This window comes from Homo sapiens, chromosome X (genome assembly GCF_000001405.40).
Source record: "Homo sapiens chromosome X, GRCh38.p14 Primary Assembly".
Lineage (NCBI taxonomy): Eukaryota > Metazoa > Chordata > Mammalia > Primates > Hominidae > Homo > Homo sapiens.
In genome coordinates, this window is record NC_000023.11 from 130,551,690 (window position 1) to 130,572,705 (window position 21,016).

The following is a 21,016-nucleotide window of genomic DNA, read 5'->3' on the forward strand; positions in this document are numbered from 1 at the left end:
AGAATGATAAATTTATTTCCTAAGATAGCTCTGATGGCAGAACAGGTGGCCAATGCTTTTTTAAACAAACAAACAAACAAACAAACAGTAGTTGAGGAGAGGTCAGGAGAGGGAACATGAAGAAAAAAGTCACACTAGTTGGTGATCAGGATGCATTGAAGACCACCCTAAAGAATCCATTTGGTAGAAGGGTGGAGTTAGAGGCCAGATTTCAAAGATTTAAAGGAATGAGTGTGGTAGTGGAGGGAAGGAAAGCAAGCTTCAGCAACTTGAGAACCCAGAGGCCTGAAGGAAAAGCTTGTGGAGTCTAGAGCATCACTGAAGTCAGAGAGGAAGGGGCCTGCAGAGGGAGGCACTAGAAATGAGGGAGGGACTGGCCAATTCATATAAAGAGATGACAGAGGAGGAGGCTGAGAGGGGAATTAGTGGAAGGGTTTTTCTTAGAAAGGAGGATTTTTTTTTTTTCAGAGATAGGACTGAAGGAAGAGAGACTAAAGGAAATGTATTAAGGAAGAGAATGAGCCACGAGAAAAGGAAAGAGTAGCAAAATCTTATTTGGGTCTACATATAGAGCCTTGCTGTCTTGGCAGAATGCTCAATGCTCAGAACACCCTTCTGAAAGCTTGCCCGCCATCCGGGCTTCCTCCACAAGATTCAAGGTCTCATTGATTCTCTTCAGCTTCAGTCAGAGACAATCTGACAGCTGCAGTTGGCTCAGCCCTTCTTGCAGCAAGCTGACACCATTTCTGGTGGGCTTCAAAGGCAGTATAAATGGTTCTCCCTTAAGAGCAGGTTACACTCGGCACCTAGGCAGCCTCATTACACAACTAATTAAACCTCTATCACTTGAAAGGAATCAATGGCAGTTCAAGATCTGCTTGAGTAGACTTTGCATTTCCGTGTTCACACATAGCAGTCCTACAGTCAAGGAGTTCCCAACCACTGCAAGGGGAAGATGTAAACAAGACCTTAGAAATAGATTGTTTCATTTCCTATAAGGGGGTGTCCCAGAAGATCTTACTCATTAGACAGTAGGCAAGACCCCTTTAACCTTTTGAAATAGAAGGGAGTTTCGGGCAGCTCTTTAAACGGTGGGAAGCTCAAGCTTTCTGCTCTGGTGCATCCATCTGGACAAAGGCATGTCAACTTCTCAGAGTCTGTCCTTCCTGGCAGTTCCAAAGGGAGGTCCCCGGGTGTTGAGTGCAGTAAGCTAGAGCCTGGGTTTTCCCCTACAGAAAGGCTCCAGCCCTGTTGTAAATACAACTTTCAGAAACTAATTTAACTGGTTCCACTTAAATGAACTGGGAAATGACCCAATAGAAGGGGACAGAGGGACTTGTGCCAGTTCTACCATCGCAACAGGAGCAGCCACACCAGACCTTTTACTTTCAGCAGGAGAATGTTGACTTTCTGAATGCAACACACTTTTCCATCTACTTACTGTGTTATTTAAATAAATTGCTTTGCTCTTGAGGGACCTTATACTCTTTGGCTCAGTGAGAAGCTGGTAGATTGGAGTCAGAAGGGGCTGTCAATGTGGAATCTAATAGAGTTTCAGTGTGGGAATATTAGGGGTCAGAAGCAACCTTACATTAGTTATCACATCTTGTCATTAGATGACATGGATATTATTATAAAGAGGAAATCTACAGGGAGCGTGGAGATGAAAGCCATAAATTGGCTAGAAGAAGTAGGAGATTTCAATGTGAAAGCAAGTGCTTCAAGATGTGGACTGCCTGTGGACTGCCAAACTGCCCTATGGACTGCCCAGGCTCCCTGCTCTACTCTCATCTCATATCACTTTTTACTCCTTGAAATACTGTCAAGTTTGGATTATTCACTGTCCTCAGATGACAAGGGTTCAGCGCCAACAGACTAATTTTCACGCCGGCCTAAACAGACTTAATTAGGGAAGCTGTTCTGTGGCCAAAAATCACCCAGTGCATTCCAAAGCCAGATCTAACAGGCTTGTGGATTTTCAATTGTTTGTCATCATCTGTACTACTGCTTTCCTTCTTTCATGTAGGACAAGGCACACAGGAACTTACTGTTATCCTGGCTTTGCCACTGACCAGCTGTGTGACCTTGGCTAACTAACTTAACTTCTCTGAACCTCAGTGCCTCTTATGTAAGCCGGAGATAATAATGGTACTGACCGGGCATGGTGGCTCACGCCTGTGATCCCAGCACTTTGGGAGGCTGAGGCGGGTAGATCACCTGAGGTCAGGAGCTCGAGACAAGCCTGGCTAACATGGAGAAACCCCATCTCTACTAAAAATACAAAAATTGGCCAGGCATGGTGGATTAGAAGTCCCAGCTTTCGGGAGGCTGTGGCAGAAGAATCGCTTGAACCCAGGAGGTAGAGGTTGCAGTGAGCCGAGATCGTGCCATTGCACTCCAGGCTGGGTGACAAAAACGAGACTCCGTCTCAAAAAAAAAAAAAAAAAAAAAGTACTTACCACTGAGGACTGTTGTGCATGTTCAATGAAGTAATGCCTTTGGGAGTGGTTAGCACAATGCCTAGCACACAGAAAGCACTAAGTGATTATAGTTGTCTAACGATAACAATAACAGCTGCTGAAGGCAAACATGTGCCCGGTGTGGTGGCTTGCACCTGTATTCCCATCTACTTGAGAGCCTGAGGCAGAGGATCCCTTGAGGCCAGTGGTTCAAGACCAACCTGGCACCATAGTGATACCAGTGTGGGCAATATAGCGGTACCTCATCTCTACAAAATTTTTAAAAAATAATAAAAAATAATAAAGCAAATATGTAATGAATTGGATGTGTGTGTTTTTGAGGGGTGATTCGTTTCATTTGCCCTGATTAAGGGTGCTTTGAAAAGAAAAGAATAAATGTGAGGACAGAGGAGTAAGTAAAGACATATATATCCCACATGTCTATTTTCTTTGCACCTGAGGGTTTCATAATTGAGATTTTAAACTAAGTTAGAGTGAGAAGTGTAAAATAATCTACCCTCGCTGAAGTCCTCAAAACTTAAGACTGTAAAGAACTTCTGTGTTTAGTCACTCATAACTTACAACATCACTATTACTATTGGTAAAAATATATATTTTTCAATATAGAAAGTGCTGGTACCCAGGGGCCTCTACTGGGTGTTAGCTAAGGTATGCAGCATCTCACTTCTCTTTGATCCATTACTTTTTTAATGGGCACATTAGAAAAATTGGCACCTGGGTAACCTGAAAAATGCAGTCTTTGGGGCCCCTATCCTCAGGAGATTCAAGCTCAGGAGGATTAGAATGCAGTCCAGGAATCATGGGCACCATGGATGATTGAGACACCAAGGGTCCAAGAGTCAGACTTGGAAAACTGTGGGTTAGTGGGAGCCAGCCTCGCCCTACCCCCATGCACCCCTGGCCATCCCATGCTGCCCAAATCATTCTGTGGTCTGAGATCCCCTCATATCCTTTAGTTGGCATGGCTTTAGAGCATCAGTACACCTCGACTCATCTCCTGCAGAATAGCAAGGAGTCCTTAAGCAAGGTTTTCCCTCTCCTCCTGACATGAGCCCCCTTAGCACCCTGCATCATTACCGTAATTGCTTCCCAACTTCTGATTAGATAAAAACATGATGGCAGCAATCATGTTTCATCTTTAACTTGTAATTGGATGCAATATGATGATTATGGATCCTGATCAAAGGGCATTTCCATGGGATAATAAGTCCTCACAACAGCAATCTCCTTGGGATGTTTTTGCTTTTGCCTTATGGCTGCATGTCCTGTCCCCATTTCCCTTCCCCCAAAAGGAGAGCATGACTTCAGCATCTGCTGATGATTTTGCCTCAATTTTTCTCATCACACACACACACACGCAATCTCATTTGGTGCATCTGTTGTTAATTAGCTGTCTCTCATGGCTAGTCCTTGGGCTCGCTCCTTCCTCCAACAATCCCTCTAAACCTCAAGATCACGTAAAATGAAATGGAAAAAAAAAAGATCTGTGAATCATTTCTGTAGAAGACTAATTTTTATCTTCCTCCACCAGTATGTAGCATCTCTTTTCCTTCCTTTTGTCCTTCCAATGGTCTCTTTTCTGCATTAACAGAATCAGGTCTATAGGTCTCTCCCTCCTTCTCCCCCCTCTCCCTTTTTCTTTCCTTCTCTCCCTCTCCTTCCCTTAACATCTCTAAATGTAAACTTGTTAGCAAGGTAGAGTGTAAAGAGCCCAGGCTCAGAAGTCGGGTAGTACCAGCTGCCATTTACTGGCTGTGTGAACCTGGGCAAATTATCTTAACTCTCTGAGCCTAAGGCTTTTTGTCTGTGAGATGGGAATCACTGTGCATATGGTATTTTTGTACTTTGCAGTACGTTGTTTGGAGGAATAAATTATACATATCGAAGTGTTAGGCTCAGAGTGAGCACTTGATAAATGCTGGTTATTGTTTTAATACATACCTACTATATAGGTTGTTTGTTTTGTTTTGTTTTAGTGTGTTTTAACGAGATAATGTCTGTAAATAGCTTAGAACAGAGCCTAGGTAGTTGCACAACAATTAACTGCTCCCTTACCATTTGCTTTTTTTGTTTTTTTTTTTTGAAAAAATGGGATCCAGAATGGGAAGAAGAACAAACACCATTGGATTCAAAACCCAATATTTAAGGACTCCTCATAAGCAGGCCATTATGCATTAATGTAGTCACATTGTCAAATGTCTCCATGTCTCCAGTGCACCTGACCTTATCAGTGCAATGACAACACTGTGTGTACCACTCTAGAGCTTGGTGATTGTTGACACAAAAGTTACTTTTGGAAATCATTATCTACCCTACACTTCTTTCTTTTCTTATCCTTGCCTCTATTTACCTTGTATAACCCTCCTGGTGGCATTCAAGACTGGAGAAGATGCTAAGCCAAGTGGTATATCCCTATGCCATCCACCATGTACTTTATTGAATTTGATTTTTGGCTTAATTTTCTGTAATTGAAAAAATCATGGAATATCAGAGTTTAGAGGACATTTAGAGACCGTAAGTTCAAGCCACTCATTTTACAGTTTAGGGAACTGAGACTCAAGATGTCAACTAATTTGTTTAGCACCAGGTAGGGGATTGATGACATAGCTAGGGCTAGAGGCCAAGTCCCTGACATCTACTCAAGTGCTTATCCCTCTGCAGCACACTATTTAGTAGATTCTTTTATTTATTGAGCTGTAAGTTACAAACAGTTCTGTTCCTTTTATCTATTGCAAAAGCTCCCATTTTATTTATTTTTATTTTTTCTGACTCTGCCACTGTTACAGGTTGAACTGTGTCCCTCAAAAATGGTATGTTGAAGTCCTAACCCCCAGTACCTCAAATGTGACCTTATTTGGAAATAGGGTCATTACAGAGGTAATCAGGTTAAAATGAGATCATTATAGTGAAGCTTCATCCAGTATGACTGATGACTTATAAAAAGGGGAAATTTGGATCTAGAGACAGACACAGAAGGAAGATGATGCAAAGACACACAGGGAGAAGACAGTCATGTGACTGGAGTGATTTATCTATAAGCCAAGGAATGCAAAGTAATGCCAAGGATTGCCATCAAATACCAGAAGCTAGAAGAGACAAGAAAGATTCCCCCCAAACCTTCCCCCAAGAACCACTGGCCCCGCAGACACCTTGATCTTGGACTTCCAGCTTCCAGAACTGTGAGACAATACATTTCTTTTGTTTTAAGCCACCTGGTTTGTGGCACTTTGTTACAGTAACCCTAGGAAACTAATATACCACCATGGATAGTTTTGTTATCCCCAAGAGGTACATATTAAGGCCAGAGAGAGAAATTTGTCAAGAGAACATGTATCCAGCACACAAGAATTGTTTGCCTTAAATTATATTATGTTTGTACTTGGGAACCAAGTCAAATGTCGGTGGTATCAGTGTTAATTGTTGTCTATGCCATCTGTACTGGTCAGGGTTCTCCAGAGTAATAGAACCAACAGGAATATATATATATATATATATATATATATATATATATATATATATACACACACACATATATACATATATATATACACATATATACATATATATACATATATATACACACACATATATATGTACATATATATACATATATACATATATATACATATATATACATATATATATACATATATATAATATCATATATTATATTCGTATTAGGCCATATGAAATATGACCTAAACTCACTGAGCCTCATATATATATATATATATATATATATATATGATTTTTTTTTTGCCAAGCATCAAAGCCAAGAAATTCATACTAACGACTACCTTCTTCTCCATCCTGGCACTGGTACAGTCACTAAGAACTGTCAATACACATGCAGTGTTAATCTACGCTGGTAATACTCAGACCAGATTTCATGATAGATGCTTGACAGATTTCATGATAGATTTCTCTCTCTCTCTCTCTCTGTGTGTATATATATATATATATATATATATATATATATATATATGCACATATTCCTATATATATTCCTATATATATATATTCCTATATATATGTACATATCATGGAGGCTGATAAGTCTCACAGTTTGCTGTCTGCAAGATGGAGGCCCAGTAAAGCTGGTAGTGTAATTCAGTCCAAATCTGAAAGCCTGAGAACCAGGGGAGCTGATGGCTGAGGGCAGGAGAAGATGAATGTCCCAGCTCAAGGACATGAAGAGTGAGTTCACCGTTCCTTTACTTTTTTGGTTCTATTTGGGCCCTCAGCGAATTGGATGATGCCCTCTTGCATTGGTGAGGGTGGTCTTTATGAAGATCAAATGCTCATCTCTTCCAAAAACATCATCACAGACACACCCAGAAATACTGTTTTATCAGCCATCTTGGTATCCCTTAGCCCAGTCAAGTTGACACATAAAATTAACCATACACCTTCTACTGAAACTGTAAGATCATTTTATTGTCGTTTCGTTGCTTGTGCTTATTCTGAGACTTGGAAAATTTTTGAGGAACATGCTTTGGTTTATGGCTGCATAGGGTAGATGTGCTGGCCAGTGGTGTTCTTCTAGGCATAGTTATAGTTTTTGAGGACTGTTATAAGTCCCCTACTTGTGTGGCGCTCTCCAGGTATGCCTTTGTTCCCTCATATTTCTTTCAAGCTTATGCATCTGGGCCTGGCTAACATAAGGTCCTTTATATTAATATTGTTGCCTTGCTGATACAGCTGTCACTGTAATCTCACAGGACAGTGATAGGATCCAGGGCTGATTTTTTTTTTTTTTTTGCCAGCATCAGAGCCAAGAAATCATACTAACAACAACCCTCTTCTCCACCCTGGCACTGGTACGGTTACTAAGAATTGTCATTACACATGCAGTGTAATCTACACTGGTAATACTAAGAGCAGATTTCATGATAGATGCTTGGGAAGTTTCATAAACAGGGATCATTGTTTTTAATCCTCTTGATGGTGTTTTCCCAGAGCTGTGTTTGGAATGCTACTGAAAGTTAGATGGCTAACAGCATGCTATGAAGACTGCATTGAGATCAAGGAGAAGAAACAAGGGTTAGTTATCTGGCTATGACTGAAGCAATCAACGGTGAATATTGGTGGAACTTTACGAACGGACATTGCTAATGGGCACCGTGGTGCTGAATGAATACAACATGAGCTTTGGCAACACCCAGATGTAGGTTTGAATGTGTGACTTTAGAAATGTGACCTAAATTCACTGAGCCTCAGATTTTAAACCTATGAAAAATTCCAAACATTTTAAAGTTAAAAAAGAATAAGATAGCAAGCATAAATGCACTCACTATGAAGTTTCAAGGTATATTGCAAGATGTATTACAAATACAGCCGTAGCCTCATGTGTATCCTTCTCCAAGCACATTGCTCTCTCTGCCCCTACCCTGCCACTCTCCCCAGTCCCACCACATATACTCAAACAATTAATGATGAAAACTCAAAAAGACCCAGACACATAGAAACTAAATTACTTCTGAAATGGCAAGGGTTGGTAGAGACTCTCCTTGCAAGGTTAATTAATATATCTGACAAAGAAACAGCAAAAGGGCTTGTTTAGGGAAGTCATGGATGGTATTTCTACTTTTAAAATATAAATTAGAATTTTCTAGGAAAATATTAGATTTCTAGTAGGCTACATAGTTTTCTGAACAAGACCAGGTTAGTTCATCACTGTAATGAGGGCTCAGTACAGATTGGCTGTATGTGGGTGTGATGGTTAATTTTACATATCAGCTTGGCTGAGTCATGGTGCTCAGATATTTGGTTAAATATCATTCTGAATATTTCTGTGAAGGTGTTTTTTGTTTTTTGTTTGTTTTTTTGAGAAGGAATCTTGCTCTGTAGTGCCCAGGCTGGAGTGCAGTGGTGCAATCTTGGCTCACTGTAACCTCTGCCTCCTGGGTTCAAGTGATTCTCCCACCTCAGTCTCCCGAGTAGCTGGGATTACAGGTGCCCACCACCACGGCCGGCTAATTTTTTGAATTTTTAGTAGAGACAGGGTTTCACCATACTGGCCAGGCTGGTCTCGAACTCCGGACCTCAACCGCCTCGGCCTCCCCAGGTGCTGGGATTATAGGCATGAGCCACCACGCCCAGCCCTGTGAAGGTGTTTTTGGGTGACACTAAGATTTAAATCAGTAGACTTTGAGTAAAGCAGATTATCCTCCTTTATGTGGGTGCGCCTCATCCAATTAGTTGAAGGCCTTAAAGGAACAAAGACTGATCATCCCTGAACAACAAAGAATTCTATCTCCAGACTGCCTTTGGACTTGAAATGCAACATCAACTCTTCCTTGGGTCTCTAGCCTGCTGGCCTGCCTTGAAGATTCTGAACTTACCAATCCTCCATAATCACATGTGAGCCAATTCCTTGCAATCTCTCTCTCTCTCTCTCTCCCCCCGCCCCCCCCGTCTCTCGCTCTCTCTCTCTCTCTCCCCGCCCCCCACCCCTCTCTCCCTTTCTTTCTCTGTGTGTATATTTGTATACACATCCTGTTGGTTCTGTTTTGGAATGCTGACTAATACAGTGGTTAATCTTTTGCTTTCCAAAGGGGGAAATGGTGAATACTCTCTGCTCATTTTATTGGTGCCTATGCTTCCAATATATTTGTACAGCTGTACATGCTTTACACCTTATGTTACTCCGCAGTGCAAAAGCTCTCCATGGCTGCCTCTGTCCACCAGGCTAAGTAAAAATGCCTTGGTCTGGCATTCCAAGCTGTCCACAGTTTTTCTGTCCTCTCTGTCCTTATACTCTTATGCTCTGAATAAATTGTATGAAACACCTCTGCATGTGACTTTTCTTAAACTGGAACAGTATTCCCTCTGCTTTCTACATTTCCTAAGCCCAACTGCACACAAATCCTACTGTGTTTTGGGTCATTTTCTAGAAGCTGAAAATTTGTGGGGAACAAGACAGATATGGTCCCTTTTCTCATAGATTTTACACACTGGTGAGAAAGACAAAGAACAAACAAATAAATAAGCAAATATAATAATTCCAGACAATGATTAGGATTATGAAGAAACTGAAATACAGTAATACATAGAGTGGCAGAGAGTGCTACCCTAGATTAGTGTCCAGAGGTGCCTTCACTGTGGGGGTGGTATTGGAGCAGCTGTGGCCTCTGCCCTCATAGATCTCACAACCTAATTGAGGACACAGAAACATATACAGAAGCTGTAATGTGGGAGCTTGAGTGTTATCATATGTGATTACAGAGAAGAGCTACTTAACATGGGCTGGGGTGGGACAGAGAAGGCATCCTGGAGGAAGTGACATTTAGGCTGGGATCTAAAGCATAATTAGGAGTTAGGTAAAAAAATAGTGGGGGAGGGGAAGACATTTCAGGCAGAAGGAGTAGTTTGTATAATGAATAACCAGAGATGAGGAAGAGCCTGGCCTTTGGGAAAACTACAAAGAGTTCTGCAGGTTGAAACTTAGACATGAGCATAGGAAGGTGAATGATGAAGCTGGAGAATTAGGCGGGGCCAGATTATCAAAGGCTTTGTAGGTCCTGCTACTACAGTTTCAGGTGCTGAGACAGGTTTTATTATTATTATTATTATTGTTTTCTTTCTGTGTGTAAGCAAGCTGAGGCCTGTGGAGGGTAAATAATCTGCACATGGTTTCATAGCTAGTAAGCAGCAGAGCTGGGATTCAAACCCAGGTTTGTTTGATTCTACTATACCACGTCACCTTGTAAGAATTCAATTTGATTATAATTATTCAATTCTTCATACAGAACCTTGAGTAGTCTGGTTTGGCTGGAACATATGGCATATACATATATATTTTCTAGGAAAATATTAGATTTCTAGTAGGCTACGTAGCTTTCTGAACAAGACCAGGTTAGTTCATCATTATAATGAGTGCTCAGTACACATTGGCTGTATGTGGGTGTGATGGTTAATTTTACATATCAGCTTGGCTGAGTCATGGTGCTCAGATATTTGGTTAAATATCATTTAACAGGAATGGGACAGGAAACTGAAAATGTTCAGTGAGGCCAGATTATTGGGGGGAGGGGTAGTTAAATGCATGTCTGAGAAATCTACACTTAAGTATCTTGATTTTACAGATAAGAAAACTAATGCTCAAAGAAACTAAGAAAGTTGCCCATGGTTGCAAATTTAGTAAGTGGTGGAACTGGAATTCAACTGAGGTTTAACTGGTGCCAGAGTCCAAGACTGTGCCAAATCCTCAAAACTGTCTTTCTACCTTACCTTCGACCGCTTCCTCTCCACTGACTCTATCTACTCAGGCATCCAAAAAAACTCCACATATATTGAGCACGTACTGCATGCCACAAACTGTACAAATTGTTCTGCATTCAATAGCTCATTATAAAATGCATTTGCTCTCATTTTATACATGAAGAAACTATGTCTCAGGTAAATTAACTTGTCTAAGGTTGCACTGCAAATACATCATGTGAATGTTTATATAATGGTAATAGTTGAAGCTCCAGTAGTAGATGTGGTCACTGAGGAAGATAATGAGGGGTAGGGTAAGAAAGAGGAGAGGAGAGCAAAAGGAAAATGAGACGGAAGTTGTCTTGGTCAGCCAGGGCTGCCATAACCAAATACCATAGACTATGGGGCTTAAACAACATGAATTTGTTTTTCACAGTTCTGGAGGCTGGGAAGTCCAAGATCAAGGTGCTAGTCAATTGCTCCCTAGTGAGGGTGCTCTGTCTGGATTGCAGACAGCCACCTTCTTGCTGTGTCCTCATATGAAAGAGAGAAAGCGAACTCTGATCTCTCTTCTTCTTCTTAGAAGGACGTTAATTCCATCATGAGGGCTCCATCCTCATGATCTTATCGAAAGCTAATTACCTCCCAAAGGTCTCACCTCCTAGTACCATCACATTGGGAGTTAGGGCTTCAACATATGAATTTGGGAGATGGTGGTGGAGGACACAGTTCAGTCTATAGCAGAAAGGAAGGGAAGGGAAGGGAAGGAAAGGGAAGCGGGTGGGGGGAGGGGACTAACTGAGAACAGAACTTGGGAGAATGCCCACGTAAGGAGAGAGAACGAGGCAAAGGGGCCAGTGGAGACAGAAAGAATGATCAGAGGAGTGCAATGCCCTGGAGGATGTGACAGGGAAGAAGCTTCCAGGGTGAAGGGGCAGCACCAAGTGTGTTCATTGCCACTGAGTCACTGCTGTAGACAGGGTCACATGGAAGTGCCTAGATGTTGGATTTGGTTACCTGGGACGTTTTAGAGTAGTTGCAACTGGCAGAATGGTGAGGGCTGAGGACAGACAGTAGAGGACTAAAGCTGAGAGAACAGAGCACAGGTGGATGCAACGGTTTCGTAGAGACTGGACAGAGAGGACAGGGGAGATCTCTGTTTGGTTGAAGAAAACTAATTTGGGATGGGGGATACTAAGTAATTCTGAATGATTGACAGGAAGGGGGTAGTACAGAAGAGACTGAGGGCTCCAGGAAGCCAGTGAGTAGAAGTGGTGAATAATTAATGGAGTGAGCAGCTGGGGAGCTGAGAGGAGGCAGGGCTGAAAGCAGAGTCAGAGAGTCTGGCTTTGGGCAGAAGGATGTGTGTAGTGCAATGGACACAATGCAGGATTCAGTGAATTACAGACTTGGTTCTTGGTTCTACTACTTACTATGACCTTGTTCAAGCCACTTAATCTCTGTCAGCTTCATTCTCCATACCTGGCAAATGGGGGTAATGAGAGGAGCTATATCTTAGGGTAGTTATGAGAATCCACTGAGCTAGTGGACAGGAACGCACCCAGCACAGGGCATGGCATCTAGTGGGTGCTTGATAAAGGGACAATAAATAAAAATGCAGAGATATTGGGAGGCGTGAGACTGAGTTAACACATATGAACTGGGCTCATAGTTCAACAGGCAGCCTAGATTGCCTGGATTGGGTCCCATAGTGCTCTGGTCTTTCTTCTTTTTTAAATAAGGACTCAAATCCCATCATGGTGGTACCATCCTTCTCACCTCATCTAAACCTAATTACCTCCAAAAGGCTGCACCTCCTAGTACCATCACATTAAAGGTTAGGTCTTCAACATATGAATTTTGGTTGGGGGCACAATTCAGTCTACAGTGGAAGATGTGTTAGTGCTGCTCACCACTTTTTTTTTTTTTTGACAGAGTCTTGCTCTGTCGCCCAGGCTGAAGTGCAGTGGTACAAACACGGCTTACTGCTGTTTCAATCTCCTGGGCTGAAGTGAATCCTCCCACCTTAGCCTGCTGAGTAGCCGGGATTATAGACATGTGCCACCATTCTCAGTTAATTTTTTAAAAAGTTTTTTAGAGACAGGGTCTTTCTATGTTGCCCAGGCTGGTCTCAAACTCCTGGGCTCAAGCAATCTTCCCACCTCGACCTCCTAAGGTGCTAGGATTACAGGTGTGAGCCACTGTGCCCAGTCTCACCAATATTGATGATCCCTTTCCTCCTGGGCTCAGAATAGGACTAAACTTTTCTCCTTTCTTGAAGTTAGATGTGGCCACGTGACTTTCCTTGGCAAATAAAGTATGAAAAATGCTTCTAGGTGGAAACGTTATTGGTTGTGAACTCTCCAGTGCTCTTTTCCTCTGACTTATCAAATAGGGAGAACTTACTGATAATGGAGGTGCAATGCAGAGCCACCAAGTGGAGAAGGACAGTTGCCCTTGACAGTCAACTAGACCTGCAGTGGACTGTGTGGGAAAGAGACAAGCTCCTTCTCTTTTAACCCACTGAGATCTTGAAATTGTTTGTTATTGCAACATAACCTGGCCTATCTTGATTTATATGCCCCCAAAAGTGAAAGCAAAGTGTCCCCTAATTCAATACTTGGTAATGTCTTTGAGGATACGTATGAAAAGTGAACATAAAGTTAATGTGACTGGTTTTTAACAACTTGCCAGAATTTATAATCTCTCAAATTAATGTTCTTGTCTTCAAAGTAGTCACTGTGGGATTATATAATAATTTAAATGATGTACAAAACAGTTATGAAATTCCTTTTACAACCCAACCTCAAAATTGATTAACTTAGTCATTTGCTATATGCCTGGCACTGGGGATACAGAGATGAAAAGCTGTGTTCTCTCCCCTTCAAGAGCTCACAGTGTTGTAGCAGGAAATATGTAAGTGATCTAAAGTGTCTTAATGTATGGTAGGGCCATAGGTGAGGAAAGAGGTCAGTTCTACCACAGAGATTCACAAAAGGCTCTATAGAGAAGGAGTGACTAAGCGTTCACTAGTCAGATAGATTGGGGTGGAGGGGACAGATAGATTGGGGTAGAGGGACCAACAGGAGCAAAAGCGTGGAGGGTTGAAGTAGTCTGGCCCATTTGGATAGGTGCAAATGCTTCTGTGTGTCTCCAGCCTAGTATAAGAAGGGGCCGCTGGAAGACATGAAGATAGAGAAGCAGGGAGGGGTAGATCATGGAGGGCCTGCTATGCCACACTGAGGAGTTTGTAGTTTAATCTATAAGAGAGGGAGAACAAATGATGGGTTTTAAGCAAGGGAGCCACATGACTTTTTTTTCTTTTGGATGGGAATAGAAAAATACATTTACTATTGCAACAGGAAAATATTGCTATGTACAGTCTCACTACCTTCTAAGAACGGTGAATTCCAATCACTAGTTAGTCCATTATTGATGGGTTGAGTGTGATTGATGCAAATTTGGAGCTGCCTGAATAGAATCAACTGCTCTGCATAAAAGAGGGAGGGGGAGATAAATTAGTTCATGGCTGGGGAAAGGAAAGCAGAAAAGGAAAGGGAGAGAGAGTGACAGAGAAACTCAAGACAAAGGTGTCTAATGGAGATTTTGTATCAATGCGGTTGCTGTTTGGTTTTCTATATAAACCCTCATTTCTCTACAGAATTGCCAGCTAAATCTGCCCTGCTTACCTGTGCTTTGTGGAGAGGATTTGCTATTTAGGGATCCAGCTAAGTGCTGATTGTTACTTCAAGGTTAGCGTGGGGCAAAATAAACAGAAGTCACACCTGGAGACAATCAACATCTAGGCTATATAGTCTAGACTCTGGCTTGCCCTTGTGACTTGTTTTGGCCAATGAGACAACAGCAAACTTGATGCCGGCAGAGGCCTGGAAAAGCACTTTCTTGCTTGCTTGCACCTGTCTACTTTCCCCCTTGCTCCTCTGCCTTCACCATAAGAGCATGCATGGACTAGACTTTTGAATAATGAGAAACATGTGGCCCAGTGACCCCAGTTGCTTCAGCTGACAGCCAACTGCCAGGTGTGTGAAGTGAGCTCAGCTGAGACCAGAACTATCCAGCCAGGCCCAACCAAGATCAGAAGAACTGCTCAGCTGATCTGGAGGCTCATGATAACAAATGAGTGGTTATTGATTTTTTGCCACTGAGTTTCGGGGTGATTTGTCACACAGGATTGTTGTAACACTGGGTAGTTGATACACATGTCATAAAAGTAACCCACACATGCCTCTGCCATAGTCAGAATAGTGAGGAATCAGGAAGCTGCCACTTCAACCGTTGGCTCCAAATTCCAGTTTCTAGATTCATAGGAGTTGAAAGCAGAACACAGGCCGTCCATTGTGCTAGCAAAGATTGTAGCATAGGCAGTGTGGTCCTGGGGCCAGCGGTTCAAAACCTTCTTCTGCAGAAGAAAAAAAAGAGAGAGAGAGAGGCACCGGTGTTTGTTTAGCTGGAAATCAGTGATGGCTTTCAAATACCTCAACGTGTCTTACTCTTCTGAAAATGTTACCTTGACTCCTGTGGTTTTTAAGTACGAGTCTCTTTGCTTCCTTAATGGTCTCTATACTGCTTTCATGTTTTGTCCTATTTTTGCATTATGTTTAAGCTTAACACACCTTCCATGTTATGTGGAGGTAGATCTGAATCCCAAATCAGAGTATCATGAAAATACTGAATTGTAAAGCTGAAAGAGACCTTTGCACATCACTAGGAGTAAGGACATCAGTACAGCCCACTCGTAGAGGTGGGACTTTGTCCTTAGGTCCTCCCAAACATTCTCTCATGCTTAACTTTCCAATGTTTTTTGTGTGTGGGGGTGTGAGGTGAGGAAAGGTTTGGGAAGCTACCTAAAGCACCATGCTCTAGTGTCAGATTCAGATTCTAGGGATCCAGTTCTCAAACACCACATCTAGGTGTGATATGGTTTGGATTTGTGTCCCTGCTCAAATCTCATGTCGAATTTTAAGCTCCAATATTGGAAAAGGGGCCTGGTGGGAGGTGATTGGCTCATGCAGTAGGTTTCCCCCTTGGTGTTCTCATGATAGTAACTGAGTTCTCATGAGATCTTGTTGTTTAAAAGTGTGTAGCACCTCCCACTTTGCTCTCTTCCTCCTGCCCCAGCCACATAAGATATGCCTGCTTCCCTTTCGCCTTCTGCCATGATTGAAAGTTTCTTGAGAAATCCCCGGTCATGCTACCTCTACAGCTGTGGAACAGTGAGCAAATTAAAACTCTTTTTTTTTTTATCATATATAACCCAGTCTCAGGTATTTCTTTTTTTTTTAATTATTATTATACTTTAAGTTTTAGGGTACATGTGCACAATGTGCAGGTTAGTTACATATGTCTACATGTGCCATGCTGGTGTGCTGCACCCACTAACTCATCATCTAGCATTAGGTATATCGCCTAATGCTATCCCTCCCCCCTCCCCCCACCCCACAGCAGTCCCCAGAGTGTGATGTTCCCCTTCCTGTGTCCATGTGTTCTCATTGTTCAATTCCCACCTATGAGTGAGAATATGCGGTGTTTGGTTTTTTGTTCTTGCAATAGTTTACTGAGAATGATGGTTTCCAATTTCATCCATGTCCCTACAAAGGACATGAACTCATCATTTTTTATGGCTGCATAGTATTCTATGGTGTATATGTGCCACATTTTCTTAATCCAGTCTATCGTTGTTGGACATTTGGGTTGGTTCCAAGTCTTTGCTATTGTGAATAGTGCCACAATAAACATACATGTGCATGTGTCTTTATAGCAGCATGATTTATAGTCCTTTGGGTATATACCCAGTAATGGGATGGCTGGGTCAAATGGTATTTCTAGTTCTAGATCCCTGAGGAATCGCCACACTGACTTCCACAAGGGTTTAACTAGTTTACAGTCCCACCAACAGTGTAAAAGTGTTCCTATTTTTCCACATCCTCTCCAGCACCTGTTGTTTCCTGACTTTTTAATGATTGCCATTCTAACTGGTGTGAGATGGTATCTCATTGTGGTTTTGATTTGCATTTCTCTGATGGTCAGTGATGATGAGCTTTTTTTCATGTGTTTTTTGGCTGCATAAATGTCTTCTTTTGAGAAGTGTCTGTTCATGTCCTTCACCCACTTTTTGATGGGGTTGTTTGTTTTTTTCTTGTAAATTTGTTTGAGTTCATTGTAGATTCTGGATATTAGCCCTTTGTCAGATGAGTAGGTTGTGAAAATTTTCTCCCATTTTGTAGGTTGCCTGCTCACTCTGATGGTGGTTTCTTTTGCTGTGCAGAAGCTCTTTAGTTAAATTAGATCCCATTTGTCAATTTTGGCTTTTGTTGCCATTGCTTTTGGTGTTTTAGACATGAAGTCCTTGCCCATGCCTATGTCCTCAATGGTAATGCCTAGGTTTTCTTCTAGGGTTTTTATGGTTTTAGGTCTAACGTTTAAGTCTTTAATCCATCTTGAATTAATTTTTGTATAAGGTGTAAGGAAGGGATCCAGTTTCAGCTTTCTACATATGGCTAGTCAGTTTTCCCAGCACCATTTCTTAAATAGGGAATCCTTTCCCTATTGCTTGTTTTTCTCAGGTTTGTCAAAGATCAGATAGTTGTAGATATGCGGCGTTATTTCTGAGGGCTCTGTTCTGTTCCATTGATCTATATCTCTGTTTTGGTACCAGTACCATGCTGTTTTGGTTACTGCAGCCTTGTAGTATAGTTTGAAGTCAGGTAGTGTGATGCCTCTGGCTTTGTTCTTTTGGCCTAGGATTGACTTGGTGATGCAGGCTCTTTTTTGGTTCCATATGAACTTTAAAGTAGTTTTTTCCAATTCTGTGAAGAAAGTCATTGGTAGCTTGATGGGGATGGCATTGAATCTGTAAATTACCTTGGGCAGTATGGCCATTTTCACGATATTGATTCTTCCTACCCATGAGCATGGAATATTCTTCCATTTGTTTGTATCCTCTTTTATTTCCTTGAGCAGTGGTTTGTAGTTCTCCTTGAAGAGGTCCTTCACATCCCTTGTAAGTTGGATTCCTAGGTATTTTATTCTCTTTGAAGCAATTGTGAATGGGAATTCACTCATGATTTGGCTCTCTGTTTGTCTGTTATTGGTGTATAAGAATGCTTGTGGTTTTTGTACATTGATTTTGTATCCTGAGACTTTGCTGAAGTTGCTTATCAGCTTAAGGAGATTTTGGGCTGAGACAATGGGGTTTTCTAGATATACAATCATGTCATCTGCAAACAGGGACAATTTGACTTCCTCTTTTCCTAATTGAATACCCTTTATTTCCTTCTCCTGCCTAATTGCCCTGGCCAGAACTTCCAACACTATGTTGAATAGGAGTAGTGAGAGAGGGCATCCCTGTCTTGTGCCAGTTTGCAAAGGGAATGCTTCCAGTTTTTGCCCATTCAGTATGATATTGGCTGTGGGTTTGTCAAAGATAGCTCTTATTATTTTGGAATATGTCCCATCAATACCTAATTTATTGAGAGTTTTTAGCATGAAGCGTTGTTGAATTTTGTCAAAGGCCTTTTCTGCATCTATTGAGATAATCATGTGGTTTTTGTCTTTGGTTCTGTTTATATGCTGGATTACATTTATTGATTTGCATATATTGAACCAGCCTTGCATCCCAGGGATGAAGCCCACTTGATCATGGTGGATAAGCTTTTTGATGTGCTGCTGGATTCGGTTTGCCAGTATTTTATTGAGGATTTTTGCATCAATGTTCATCAAGGATATTGGTCTAAAATTCTCTTTTTTGGTTGTGTCTCTGCCAGGCTTTGGTATCAGGATGATGCTGGCCTCATAAAATGAGTTAGGGAGGATTCCCTCTTTTTCTATTGATTGGAATAGTTTCAGAAGGAATGGTGCCAGTTCCTCCTTGTACCTCTGGTAGAATTCGGCTGTGAATCCATCTGGTCTTGGACTCTTTTTGGTTGGTAAGCTATTGATTATTGCCACAATTTCAGATCCTGTTATTGGTCTATTCAGAGATTCAACTTCTTCCTGGTTTAGTCTTGGGAGAGTGTAAGTGTCGAGGAATTTATCCATTTCTTCTAGATTTTCTAGTTTATTTGCGTAGAGGTGTTTGTAGTATTCTCTGATGGTAGTTTGTATTTCTGTGGGATCAGTGGTGATATCCCCTTTATCATTTTTTATTGCATCTATTTGATTCTTCTCTCTTTTTTTCTTTATTAGTCTTGCTAGCAGTCTATCAATTTTGTTGATCCTTTCAAAAAACCAGTTCCTGGATTCATTGATTTTTTTGAAGGGTTTTCTGTGTCTCTATTTCCTTCAGTTCTGCTCTGATTTTAGTTATTTCTTGCCTTCTGCTAGCTTTTGAATGTGTTTGCTCTTGCTTTTCTAGTTCTTTTAATTGTGATGTTAGGGTGTCCATTTTGGATCTTTCCTGCTTTCTCTTGTGGGTATTTAGTGCTATAAAATTCCCTCTACACACTGCTTTGAATGCGTCCCAGAGATTCTGGTATGTTGTGTCTTTGTTCTCATTGGTTTCAAAGAACATCTTTATTTCTGCCTTCGTTTCATTATGTACCCAGTAGTCATTCAGGAGCAGGTTGTTCAGTTTCCATATAGTTGAGGGGTTTTGAGTGAGATTCTTAATCCTGAGTTCTAGTTTGATTGCACTGTGGTCTGAGAGATAGTTTGTTATAATTTCTGTTCTTTTACATTTGCTGAGGAGAGCTTTACTTCCCAGTATGTGGTCAATTTTGGAATAGGTGTGGTGTGGTGCTGAAAAAAATGTATATTCTGTTGATTTGGGGTGGAGAGTTCTGTAGATGTCTATTAGGTCCGCTAGGTGCAGAGCTGAGTTCAATTCCTGGATATCCTTGTTAACTTTCTGTCTCATTGATCTGTCTAATGTTGACAGTGGGGTGTTAAAGTCTCCCATTATTAATGTGTGGGAGTCTAAGTCTCTTTGTAGGTCACTCAGGACTTGCTTTATGAATCTGGGTGCTCCTGTATTGGGTGCATATATATTTAGGATAGTTAGCTCTTCTTGTTGAATTTATCCCTTTACCATTATGTAATGGCCTTCTTTGTCTCTTTTGATCTTTGTTGGTTTAAAGTCTGTTTTATCTGAGACTAGGATTGCAACCCCTGCCTTTTTTTGTTTTCCATTGGCTTGGTAGATCTTCCTCCATCCTTTTATTTTGAGCCTATGTGTGTCTCTGCACGTGAGATGGGTTTCCTGAATACAGCACACTGAAGGGTCTTGACTCTTTATCCAATTTGCCAGTCTGTGTCTTTTAATTGGAGCTTTTAGTCCATTTACATTTAAAGTTAATATTGTTATGTGTGAATTTGATCCTGTCATTGTGTTAGCTGGTTATTTTGCACGTTAGTTGATGCAGTTTCTTCCTAGTCTCGATGGTCTTTACATTTTGGCATGATTTTGCAGCGGCTGGTACCGGTTGTTCCTTTCCATGTTTAGTGCTTCCTTCAGGAGCTCTTTTAGGGCAGGCCTGGTGGTGACAAAATCTCTCAGCATTTGCTTGTCTGTAAAGTATTTTATTTCTCCTTCACTTATGAAGCTTAGTTTGGCTGGATATGAAATTCTGGGTTGAAAATTCTTTTCTTTAAGAATGTTGAATATTGGCCCCCACTCTCTTCTGGCTTGTAGAGTTTCTGCCAAGAGATCCGCTGTTAGTCTGATGGGCTTCCCTTTGAGGGTGATCCAACCTTTCTCTCTGGCTGCCCTTAACATTTTTTCCTTCATTTCAACTTTGGTGAATCTGACAATTATGTGTCTTGGAGTTGCTCTTCTCAAGGAGGATCTTTGTGGCGTTCTCTGTATTTCCTGAATCTGAATGTTGGCCTGCCTTGCTAGATTGGGGAAGTTCTCCTGGATAATATCCTGCAGAGTGTTTTCCAACTTGGTTCCATTCTCCACATCACTTTCAGGTACACCAATCAGACGTAGATTTGGTCTTTTCACATAGTCCCATATTTCTTGGAGGCTTTGCTCGTTTCTTTTTATTCTTTTTTCTCTAAACTTCCCTTCTCGCTTCATTTCATTCATTTCATCTTCCATCGCTGATACCCTTTCTTCCAGTTGATCGCATTGGCTCCTGAGGCTTCTGCATTCTTCACGTAGTTCTCGAGGCTTGGTTTTCAGCTCCATCAGCTCCTTTAAGCACTTCTCTGTCTTGGTTAATCTAGTTATACATTCTTCTAAATGTTTTTCAAAGTTTTCAACTTCTTTGCCTTTGGTTTGAGTGTCCTCCCATAGCTTGGAGTAATTTGATCGTCTGAAGCCTTCTTCTCTCAGCTCGTTAAAGTCATTCTCCGTCCAGCTTTGTTCCGTT

The 21,016-nt window shown here is 41.5% G+C and overlaps 1 annotated feature.

The window, feature by feature from the left end:
* Positions 866 to 915: an enhancer, noted in NCBI's record as "active region_29942". NCBI's record gives its function as "activates an Ori minimal core promoter by ATAC-STARR-seq in GM12878 lymphoblastoid cells {active_cell/tissue: GM12878}" and the evidence as "EXISTENCE:reporter gene assay evidence [ECO:0000049][PMID:35858748]".